The 12,006-nt window shown below is 41.2% G+C and overlaps 1 protein-coding gene across 2 annotated transcripts, besides 2 other annotated features; it reads right to left on the bottom strand.

Annotated features, from left to right (window-relative positions):
- Window positions 2,572–2,741: an enhancer, noted in NCBI's record as "experimental_103905 CRE fragment used in MPRA reporter constructs". NCBI's record gives its function as "activates a minimal promoter by MPRAs in K562 erythroleukemia cells, with activity observed for the non-introgressed 9:101993664 variant allele {active_cell/tissue: K562}" and the evidence as "EXISTENCE:reporter gene assay evidence [ECO:0000049][PMID:34662402]".
- Window positions 3,423–11,756, bottom strand: SEC61B (SEC61 translocon subunit beta). 2 transcript variants are annotated; one of them, NM_006808.3, is made up of 4 exons: window positions 11,672–11,756; window positions 11,395–11,492; window positions 6,038–6,139; window positions 3,423–3,701 (listed from the first exon to the last, which is right to left on the bottom strand). In NM_006808.3, the coding sequence occupies exons 1-4, from the start codon at window positions 11,672–11,674 to the stop codon at window positions 3,614–3,616; spliced, it is 291 nt and encodes a 96-aa protein (NP_006799.1). In that variant the 5' UTR covers window positions 11,675–11,756; the 3' UTR covers window positions 3,423–3,613. The 2 variants fall into 2 exon arrangements, with proteins under 2 accessions (NP_006799.1, XP_047278618.1); XM_047422662.1 differs by lacking the exon at window positions 11,672–11,756 and having other exon boundaries at window positions 9,868–11,492.
- Window positions 11,687–12,006: an enhancer, noted in NCBI's record as "active region_28702". NCBI's record gives its function as "activates an Ori minimal core promoter by ATAC-STARR-seq in GM12878 lymphoblastoid cells {active_cell/tissue: GM12878}" and the evidence as "EXISTENCE:reporter gene assay evidence [ECO:0000049][PMID:35858748]".

Here is a 12,006-nt window from a genome sequence, read left to right as displayed (position 1 = left end):
AGTTAAGGATGATCTACCCCAAAATATGCCGATTTGATATATTGATTATTTAAGGAACTGTAAGCACTTAAATAACTGTAGTTGTGGAAAGGGTTATCTGACCTGTACTTTCCTACATGTAGCAAACCATAAAATATCCTTTGAGGAGGATGCCTTCCCCATACCAAGGTGAGAAAATATCAGGCCCTGAGCATTGCTGCTGCAATGAACCTGTACAAATAAACTTATTGAAGAAACCCTTATATTCCACTATCTCTACAACCCTCCACCCCATATATCTCCTGGTGACTTCCCTAGAATTTACTGCCCCCATCTCAGATCCCTTTGCCCTGTCATTTCTTCACAAATTTATTGTTCTTTGTCTAAAACCTGTAAGTTTTCTCCCTTGGCTATTTCCTAGGGTCTTTATTCTCTTGTGAGGGTCCCCATGTACAATGTAAAAATTAATACAATGTGCATGCTTTCCTCCTGTTAATTTGTCTTGTATCAATTTGATTCCAGACCCAGCTGAAGATCCCACTGAAGAACTAAGATGGTAGAGGTGATCTTTAGCTTCCCCTACATTAGCTAGTTAACGCAGCATTCTTACAGCTTTCTCGTCAAATCTCTTATCTGTTGGGAATTATCACACCTATACTCATTTATGCATAAGAAAAGTGAGATCCAGAGAAGTGAGTTGCCCAAGATCACACAATTGCTTATGTTTTAGGGCCAGCAGTTGAACCCACGTCAGGAACACTTCCGATCACAGAAGATGGAGTAAAGTAGATACGCTAAGTTTAGAAGGTGCACCCAAAGAATCAAACAAACTTGGTCCTGGCCCTCCTCCGGCATTTGAAGAGAGGGACAATGGCTCTGGAGCTACCAAGGGGCAGCTTTATGGGAATCAAGAGCATGGCTCCCTGCACATAGGAGCTCCACATGCTTGACAGTATTTTCTGTTGAATGAATCCAGCTTTGTAGGCATTTTCATCTATTTTAACTTGATGCCAACATTTGCATGATTTCAAAACATCCTTTTCAATTCTTTCTGTGGGGACACTGGCACCTGGAAAAAAAGACTGATAAGGACAGGTGTGAAAACAGAAGCTACAACATATTTAGCTTCTCCCAGGCACAGATGCTATCCTCATCCACTGTCTCACTGGAACATGTCTAGGGTAATATTAGGGCCCACAGACCCTACTCTTTCTAATCCCTACTAGTTTCATGGACTCACTGGGCCTTTTCTCTTAACATATTTTTTCCCCAATGGCTTAACAGGCTTGACCCAAACTGCAGTTATAATGTAACTCATTTTTCCAGTTTTAATTACTTAGAGCTTCTACTCAGCATGTGCTAGCTTATGCATCCATCAGAAATGGTTAGAATTATAGTCCATGCTCAAGGGAGACTGAGGATTTGTTGGGCCAAGGTAAAGATTTAATTAGGCTTTCAGACTTACTATAGATCCCTATTCCCTAGGGCTCAGGAAACAACAATCTAGGAATACCTATTAAAGAGAATACCTTAAAGAGAAAGGAACACAAAATGTAGTATAGACACGTAATATTATTGTTCAGTCTTTAGAAAGGAAATTCTAACATATACTGCAGCTTGGATCAATCTTGAGGACATTATGCTAAGTGAAACAAGCCAGTCACAAAAAGACAAATACTACGTGATCCCACTTATATGAGGTCCATATGGACTGGGGCAGGGAGAAGGAGTTATTGTTTAATTCATGGAGTTTTAGTTTGGTGATGGTTGCACACTATGAATGTACTTAATATCACTGAATTATATACTTAAAACTGGTTCAGATGGTAAATTCTGTGATGTGTATTTTACAATTAAACAAACAAACAAAAAAGGAACAGATTGGACACGATTCTCAGCTATGTATGAGCATTGTACCATCAGAGCCCAAAGCAGCTACATAATAATGTTGTATATCTTTATGCCCAACCCCCAATTTTCCTTCTCTTCCTTCTGCTGAATGAAGCATCTCCCTGTTCTGCCACCGAAACTAGCATCTTATAAATCACTAGCTCAGAAAATTCAGTGACTTTCAGCTAGTAGTCCACTAGAGACCATGGCTAGGCAGATGGGTGCAGCAAAGAGAATGCACCCCTCACAACCAAACAGCTCCCCCATGTGGCTGCAGCATCTCCCCCAGAGGAAAAGGCCCCTCTGGACAGAGGGACAGATTTCTTTTCCAAATTAAAGGCATAATTTTTAGCTATAATTGGTACCATCAAACTCGGTATCAGGGAAAAAATCCATTATGGGTACTATCATCTTTAATTTCTTCCAAATGAAATTGAGACATTTTTCCCTGCATTTCAAAAATGAAGACACCTGTTTCATGTAATAAGCAACTCACAGGATCCAAGAAAACCAGTTTCCCATCAATTTTTTCCCAATAAAATACCATTTGTTAGAATTTACAAGAGCTCACTTACCAATATATTTCCCTAGGAAATCTTTTTTAAAGATACATATTCTCATCATTTAAATTTGACACTTTGAATCTAAAAGTACTTTACAGCTAGCATTTTAAAGAACACTTAAGAAACTGCTTAACTGTTCAGACTTTTTCTCAAAAATAGGCTTAGTGTATGAAAAAGATGTTTTTAAAATTATCTGTTTTTTCTTAACCGTTAATAATATACCTCTTTATCATTTTGTGACTCTGTTGGACAACTAGGACACTTCCCAGGGAATGCCCTCTCTTGTCAGAAATTCTGGCTTGGAGTTGTGGCTGGAGTAAGCTACCTTTGAGCAATTCTCAGTATTTCCTAGGGCGTACCAGAAACTGACTATTTATACCCAGTATGGCAACATAAGCTAAGTGAAACTTAAGTTTTATTTCTGGTTAGAATTATATCGACTCAGTGTAGAAATGCTAGTATCTCACTCTGATTAGATAAGTCTTACCAAATTTTGAGATAATCCAATTTATCAAATGGATTATCTCAAAATGGGTTTAACAGTAAGAGGTAGATGAATGGAAATCCCTGGTCTACACTCATAAAATTAAGAACTGAGAAAGAAGAGGCAAAATATAATCTATGGCCCTATTAAAGACAAAGAACAGACTGCGCCAACATTTCATCCGAGATTTCTGGTTTCTTGTTTGATTGTTCTCCTAAGTACTAGCTTCCTTTGGACACAGATCTGTCTGACGGAGTCAGAGACACACTCCTTGATAACCACAGAATACCCAAAAGGACAATCGCCAGGACAGAAATACCTAGAAGAAAACAAGCCAAGGGCAATTACAGAATCTTGGACTTGAATAACCACATGGTCATGTGAGGAACTGTCAATCCAACAAAAAACTCAATATTCACCAGACATATTTGCTACATATTTACTTACAAATCTAAAGGCAGAAAGACTAAGGGCCCTAGCAGTGAGGCATCAACGATCAGACTCAGTATAAGTGAATTAAAAAGTTTATTAGCCATAGAAAAAAACTGATTCCTCAAAATCAATTATTGATAAATCCCCTGTAAAACAGCAAGCTTACAGAAAATTTCTCTCATGAACAGATAGTCACTATACTTTTGGTCCAAGAAATGTTGGGTTTTTTCCTCCTTCTTCAGATGACAGATGGATGTAACTGAATCTACGAACGAGTGTACTTGCCCCAAATGTGCAACATAAATACAGAAGCGATGAACAGAAGACTCATAACCAATACTGGAACAGGGCCACTAGAAATAAGAAGAGAAAGCATGCTTACTTTTAGTAATAATATACTATTAGATCTGCAATACTAAAGATTGCCTAGGGGAAAAGTAGAGGTAAGGTGGGCAGCACTCAAGGTTCATCCAGAAACATTATTTGTATCATTTTAAAATATTTCTAAAATTATTATTGTGGATACTTTTGAAGGTGTGATGATGGCACTGCAATTGTGTTTAAAAAGGATGAGTCCTTATCTTTTAGTAAAACATACCAAAACATATACAAATGAAATGATCTGATGTCTTGGAGACATTAATCTAATTTCATGTATTTGTTGTCTTCTCAAATAAAAAGAAGAAAACTCTTTCAGTGCAAATGAACCCATTACCAAACTTTTTTTTTCAAATTAAGATTTATTTAAAGACAACCTTCTGAATAAGACCTAGTATTTGCTAGCACACCAACGTGACTATAGCAAAAAATAATTTAATTGTATATTGTAAAACAACTAACAGTATAATTGGACTGTTTATAACACAAAGGATAAATGCTTAAGGTAATGGATACCCCACACACCCTGATATGATTATTACACATTGTATGCCTGTATCAAAACATCTCATATAACCCATAAATATATACACCTGTATACCCATAAAAATTAAAAATTAAAAGACAACCTTCTTGAGAAGGGTTTAAAATGAGTCCCCTGAAGAGCAATGGGCTACAGATGTTCTCTCTGAGGTTCCCTCTCATGCCTATAATCCCAGCACTTTGAGAGGCTGAGGCCAGGAGTTAGAAACCAGCCTGGGCAACACAGTGAGATTCTGCTTGTACAAAAAACTAGCCAGGCATGGTAGTGCGCACTTGTAGTCCCAACTACTCAGGACTAATTAATCCAAATTTATCCAATTTTGTCTCCTGGAGTAAAGATCACTTGAGCCCAGGAATTCAAGACTACAATGAGCTATGATCATGCCATTGCACTCCAGCCTGGGCGACAGAGCAAAACCCTGTCGCTAAAGGAGAAAAAAAAATTCTCTCTGAAATACTCAAACTACCTCCACCAAAGACCAAAAGGTTGGCAGTCAGGATACCCCCACCTCACATATCCCCAACCCCAAGAATTACTTCCTAGATATATTCTCACATTATCATATAAGTCTCCAATATAAGAGAAAACAAGAATTCCAGGGAAGGCTTTATAAACTAAATTTGTGATCCTTTTGTGACTTTGTAAACTAAAGTCAAGGTGCTGGTCAAATTAATTAAAACTAATTAAAATTATAAAAACTAATTAAAATTAATAAAAACTTTACAAATTTGTAAAGTTACAAATTTGTGACTTTGTAAACTAAAGTCAAGGTGCTGGTCAAATTAATTAAAACTAATCCAAATTAATTCAATTTTGTCTTTTTTATTTTAACTAGATGGACAATATGCAAAGAGCATAGGACTTAATCAGAATATCCAGTTCCACCTCTTGTTGTGTGTCTTTGAGCATGTCACTTTGCCTCTTTGAACCTGAGGTCCTCATCTACAAAATGGTAACATCTCTCACCTCACTGGATTGCTGGGCAGATCAAACTAGACAACAGACATTGAAAGTTCTTTGCAAAGTACAAAGTGCTATGTAAATCAGAGTTGCTGTTATTATTTCGAATCCTCATCCACCGAGTTTAGTCAGGAAACAGTTGTAGGCAGTGGTGTTCTGGAACCTAACAGAAATCTGTGGGATAAGATCTGCCACACAGCACCAGAAACCCTGAGCAAGGCATGGGGACAGGGGTCCCTGGACACCCATTTCCCATCACCTAATGAGCACTCCAATGCCTAAGAACTTGGAAAGTGGTATTACATGTTCACCCTCCTGAGTCTACTCACCACCCACCAAAGGCAAAGAGGCCAAGGAACTCCTGGTAACACAGCCTAATGGGAAAACCTCCATCAGGTTGTAGTAATATCAGCTTATGCCTTCAGGAGAACTTTGAAAAATCACCCAATTCCTATTCAAATGATTACTCCTATTTCTTGGTACGGGGCAAGATCACCAAATGAAGAGCAATTTCATCTAATTAAGCAGTTTTCCCTCCAGTTCTCTCTGTTCTCATTTATTTTGACATAGCTCCATGAAGAACTTCCTTTCCTTTCCCTCACTCCATGAAAAGATGTCATTCCCGGCCCTACAATGCCTAATCGGTTGATAAACAGGCAAACCAAACCCAGTCCGCCTGGCACAAATGAGGCTGTTGTGTACAGTAAATCGCATCAAGGCAAACGCTACTGGTGACAGAGACAGAGTGCTGCCACTGCTGCTCTGCTGCCACTGGACAGAAACACAAGGACTGTTCCTAAGACTTACACTTTGAGCCCAGGTGAATCTTCTGTGTAGAATCGCCACATCCCCCCGGTGCCTGCCGAGGTTGTGCGGCCTGCACTCCTTGTCCCACAGCTGGCATTTTTCCTGAAAGAGAGGAAAATGTTACAAATGGCCTTTTCTGGAAATTATTAGAATAGCATTATAACATATGCTACCATTATTACACAGTTAAGGAATCAAAAAAAAAAAACTTTCTTTGCTAGAATCCACCTAAATTCCTGCTTTTACTCCTTTGATCATGATAACCACAATGAACTAAGTGCCTACCTGATGCCAATGCATACAATAACCCTGAAAAGCAGTCACGATTTTTCCATTTTATAAATGAGGCAAATTGGCCTCAGAAAAGGTTAAGCAAAATATCTAAGACCCTGCAGCCAACAGGTGGCTGAACCTAGCTCTGACCCTGGAGCCCATCTGCATGCCCAAAACATCCAGCTGTGTCATGTGGACAAAGCATTTCACTTTCTCCTCACATGCATCTTTCATGAAGCCAAATAATAAATTCCTGTTTTAAAATGCCCTGAATCCATACAAGCTGATCTTAAAATGGCTACTTTAAAAGATGTATTTTAAAATTAGTATATTTACTGCAAACAGACAAAAACTTTAAGCTTTAATTATATCCAGGGCCCAAGATAGAGTATACACTTTATAAAAAATTACTTTGTTATGTGTTGTCACTAGTTTGTTTTTTTTTTTTTTTTTTTTTTTTTTGAGATGGAGTTTCGCTCTGTTGCCCAGGCTGGAGTACAGTAGTACAATTTCTGCTCACTGCAACCTCCGCCTCCTGGGTTCAAGCGATTCTTCTGCCTCAGCCTCCTGCTTAGCTGGGATTACAGGCGTGCGCCACCATGCCCAGCTAATTTTTGTATTTTTAGTAGAGACAGGGTTTCACCATACTGGCCAGGCTGGTCTTGAACTCCTGACCTCATGATCTGCCTGCTTTGGCCTCCCAAAGTGCTGGGATTACAGGTGCAAGCCACCGCACCTGGCCGTGTTTTCACTATTTTAATATAGTGATCACAGATCTTGCACAGAGAGGTAGAATGTAAAAAAAACGCAGGGAACACCCAACCAAAACACCCCTTGTGTCTCTCACAAGGGGATCAAGGCTTGTAAGATACACTATGTAATACACGCAGCCCTGGCAGACAGAAGCAGCCTAGCAGCACTTAGGACTCTGCTGCCAAGGAATAGGCCCAAGGAATCCTTTCTCTCCTCTTTGGGAGAAGCCCTCAGTCACCGGGGAACCCCACCCAGCAACTACCCTTCCCTGCAGTACTTCCCCAACCCCAGCTGCTCATCGTGCCCCATGTTGGAGTGGTACAATATGGGGGTAAGGGGCAAGTGGTGAGAAGTCACAAGCAATTTTCTTCAGACCATGTATCACCAACTCAGAAGTCCTAGTGGGGAGGAGAGGGGAAGCCTATCTCATTGCTGCCTGCACCATTCAGCATCAAATCCCAGTATACCCTCCCTCAAAATCTCATTCCAGTATCTGTGGGCTGATGATTCTGGATTTTTGAAAAAGGGAAGGGCATATACGGAAAAGAAGAGAAGTGAAAACCCTATCCCTACCATCTCTTCTTGCTTTCCTCCCCATTCTGGTCCTCATGCCTCCTTTACCCAACCACGGTCTTTACTCCACATTCTGAATGCAGGAAGCACTGTCTACAGCACGGGGAGCCTGCCCTGCTACATGACGGAGTGGGAGAGTGCAGTCCTGGTTCTAACAGGAAGAGCTGTGTTCATGCCAGAACTTTGAAAGCAATCAGTGCCAAACCATGATTTGGGTCTATTGTACTACAAGGATTATATTTCAGACACATTAATTATGGACTACGTGGTAGCCTGGGAACTTAAAACTTCATTGTGTGACCATTCCTATGGGAAAACTGATTGTAAATGGCAAAACATAACTGTACAGGGATTTACAGAAAGATTCATGCCCTTAGAAAAGGTTTCACACACACAGATATATGTCATTCCATCTGTGGGGTATGCAGCTGAAATCTTCCTCCTTGTTCATTGAAAAGGATTTTAAGCTAGAAGATAAACCCAGTGTGAACATATTATAGTCATGGACTGAGCCAGGACTTGGACGCATGCACTTCCTACTATTTCCACAATATCACACCTCCAGTTCCTGACTTCAAAGTTTCCTGGAATTACAGGAGCCCCAGAGGAGTCAGGCTGGCTTCTCTTAAGATTTCTTATTTCTGCTGGCGCATGGAACATAGAAGAGTATTTGAAAACCAGAGCCCCTAGAAATACTAAAGTGTACTCAAAATACTTCCCATTCCCTAGGGGTAGCTAGGTAAAGGTTAATAAAACACATTGAATCTCTCAAATTTGTATTTGGGGGCTATTTTACCCTTTCTTTCTGGCCACTGTGTAACTGTCTCTCCCTTCTATACCTCAACACAATGGTTTTCAAAACTAACCAGTTACACACTTGGTTCTAACATGGTGCTTCTGTTGCTCCTCAAAGCCAACCTCATCGACCTCAGAATCTTCATACTTACCCACTCCTTTTGCCTAGGAGGCCTATTCGTCCCCAAACCATTGTGTGATTTGCTCTCTTGCTTCTTTCAGGTATCTACTCAGGTATTACCTACTGTGAACACCCTATCTAAAACAACTACCTACCTTTGCCCTATCCCCACCACTCTCTATCCCCCACCCAGCTTTATTTATCTTCATAGCCCTTATTGCCTGAAATTACATTGTCTTATTTTCCTTGCGTTTGATCTCCCACACTGGAATATAAGGTTCATGAGTACAAACCTTGCCTACCTTGTTCACAGACCCATCTTCGGAGATGAAACAGCATTTGGCATGTAGTAGACCTCAATACCTTGATGTCTATACATTGGTGGCTATTCCGCCATCTTAATATCCCTGATTCCCATTAATCCTGCTAGAACACTATGTGGCACTTCACACCTTTACAGTTTATAAAGCATTATTGCTCCTCACAGCAAGTTCCTTTTATATTGTATTTAGGAGAGCAAGAACACCAACTCTGGCCTGAGCTTAAATTTAATAACATTTCTCCTCCAAGGTAGTATCTATCACCTCATCAAGCATGGAGAAGGCAGCTCTACAGACAACATAATCCAAAGCACTATTATGAATCATTAACTTCCAATGTTTTCTCAGACTTATAAAGCAAAGATATTCTTAAACAACCAATACTTATTACATTATACTCATGAAATGATACTTAATCACTACCATTCTAGAAGGAAACACTGTCAGGTCTCTCAATACATACAACCATGGTCTTTCTTGTTACACTAGCTCTATCACACTGAATCCTAAAAGATGACACCAACACCCACGACTTTAAAAACTGCATCTGTCTGTCTTCAAATGTTTCAGTTCTCCATTTCACTTGTGCATCAGTTATTTCATTTTTACTATTAAATAAATAATTTCATTATCATATGTACATTTGATAAATATGTGCTTTTTCTTTTATTTCTTTACAAATTCTCGGATGGCCAAACTTCCCTGCCACAGTATTACCAATTCTCATTAAGCAGAACCATTCCCAAGGAACCGCACCCACAGGACATGTTTTCCATTCCTGCACGAAAAATCTCTAAAACCCAGGGTGGGAAGGGGACAGCACTCAAAGCCCATATAAGTTAAACCACAGCCTGATACACTCCTCATGAACATCCCAATGACAGGGAACTCAAAATCATTCAGGATAATTTTACATTTCTGCCAGTTCTATTAGAATGTCTTTGTTCTGATGTGAAATATTTCATGTAAGTTCAAATCATCAGTTTTAGATTTACCTGTTGCAGCCAGAAAATGTCACATCCCTCTTCACATCCTTCAGAAGTTTCCATGCATGTGTTCAAGATTTTTTCCTCCCTAGATAAAACCCCACTAGTTCCTTCAAAAATCCCAAAACAACTTGGTTGCTTGATTCCTTCCTTCAGTCATTATTTATTGTGTCATGCCTTATGGTGGGTACCTGGGATAGAAATGACTTGAGCAGGTTCTCTGTTAAAGTCTAATGAAGGAGATAAATATGGAAACATCACTGGTCTTATAATGATATGAACAAAATGCTATGGGGGCAAAAGGGAAAACTAGTAGCTACTGCTGCTTACAGACAGAGAAGGCCTCAAGAGGAAATAACCCCTGAGCTTAGTCTTGGAAAATAAGTAGAAATTTGCCTTGAGATGAGGGAGAAAGTTTGTGAATTCAGAAAACAGTAATGGGTTCACGAGTGCTGGATCATAGGACAGCAAAGAAAGATTAGGCTGAAGGCCGGGCGCAGTGGCTCACGCCTGTAATTCCAGCACTTTTGGAGGCAGAGACGGAGGATCACAAGGTCAGGAGATCGAGACCATCCTGGCTAACATGGTGAAACCCCGTCTCTACTAAAAATACAAAAAATTAGCTGGGTGTGGTGGCACGTGCCTGCAGTCTCAGCTACTCAGGAGGCTGAGGCAGGAGAATTGCTTGAACTCTGGAGGCAAAGGCTGTAGTGAGCCGAGATCGTGCCACTGCACTCCAGCCTGGGCGACAGAGTGAGATTCCATCCCAAAAAAAAAAAAAGGAAAAAGAAAGGTTAGGCTGAAATGACCACTAAGAGCTTTGGTATCCCCCCGGTTTTTTTTTTTTGTTTGTTTGTTTTTTTTAGTTCAGCAACAAGTAACAGAAACTACGCAGAAGAGTAACAGCAGAGCGAACGATGGACTGGAAAGCAAACAGCCTGAAGAAAAGGGTTAAGTAGCAAATGCAAAGCAGTAGAAAGGGAAAAGGAAAGAGCTTATGAGAAAGCTTTCAAGCAGAGTTTAAAGTCTGGCATATGACTAGAGAGAGAAAGAGCATAAGAAAAATCCAAGATGACGCTGACGTTTCTGGCTCTGAGTAAATGAGTGTACAACAGTGCCATATGGAAGTAAGGAGATATAATTGAGAGTGAGAGAGCTGAGCTGAAAAGAGACTAAGTTTTGTGTAGGACGAGTTATCTGTAGGACAGATTGCTTATGGGGCCGCCAGATGGAAATGTGAGTGCAAACCTCAGGTCCAGAGACACCAGTTTAATGACATCGGTTTTCTCAAAGTTATCTCTGACTCTATTCCAGTTTGTTAACTTTCCTTTTTTAAGAGTAGTGCCCTAAACTGAGCAACGAGAAAAAAAATGTCGCCTTCCTCCCAAAAGGCCTTTAACTACTCCCACGGCCACGTCACTAGAAGCTCATTTTGCCTTTGTCAATCTTCACATGCTAGGGTCTCCACCCCAGAATCAGCGAGGTTCTGGGTCCTATCTCCGAGTCTGGAAGCGAACGAACTGCAGGGTTCCTTACCTCTGCCGGACAGTGGATCCCGCCGCCCGGGCGGCCACTGCTTTGCTGGGAGAGCGCCCTGAGGATCCCACGTTAGTGCCACTGGGGGTCGGACCAGGCTGTAGAGGGAGACAAGCAGACAGACGGGTGAGCGCGGCAGGCCTGCCCCAGAACCCCGGCCTAGACACCCACACCCGAGGCTGGGGGAAGCAAGGGAGCTACAGAGGAAAAGCACGGCGCAAAGCAGGAGGAGTCAGGGCTTCTGGGAGAGGCGGGGATCATGGAAGGGCCGCCATACCATATTGGAGATGAGGGTGGCAAGGCGCTGACGCGGACGGATAGAAAGTTACGGAGCCCCCGAAAGACCGGCAGCTGGCGAGACTGACTCAGGCCCCGCCCCCGGACTTGCAGGCAAGGTCCTCTCTGACCCCAGGGACGCCTGGGTCGTCTCACGATATGCCTGTAGACAGTCTGCTACAGACAACTTAGTTACCTGCTGTATGGGAAGTAGAGACCTCCGGCCTCCTTCCTTTGGATCACAACGTCCTTCAGAAAGTCCAATCCCTACCGAAGGAAAAATATAACCGGGGTCAGACAAGATATTTTCTCAGGCAGTTACTAGACCCTCACAGA

Source organism: Homo sapiens, chromosome 9 (assembly GCF_000001405.40).
Source record: "Homo sapiens chromosome 9, GRCh38.p14 Primary Assembly".
NCBI lineage: Eukaryota > Metazoa > Chordata > Mammalia > Primates > Hominidae > Homo > Homo sapiens.
Note: the sequence above shows the minus strand (reverse complement) of the source record. Positions and strands in the feature narration are given on the sequence as shown.

Coding starts and splice junctions, on each gene's coding strand:
- SEC61B (XM_047422662.1), bottom strand. CDS start 9,921: ATGGAAACTTCTGAAGGATGTGAAGAGGGATGTGACATTTTCTGGCTG. Junction 6,140..9,867: donor ACATTTTCTGGCTGCAACAG/GTAAATCTAAAA, acceptor CCTCTCTTTCAG/GAAAAATGCCAGCTGTGGGA. Junction 3,702..6,037: donor GATTCACCTGGGCTCAAAGT/GTAAGTCTTAGG, acceptor TCTTATTTCTAG/TGGCCCTGTTCCAGTATTGG.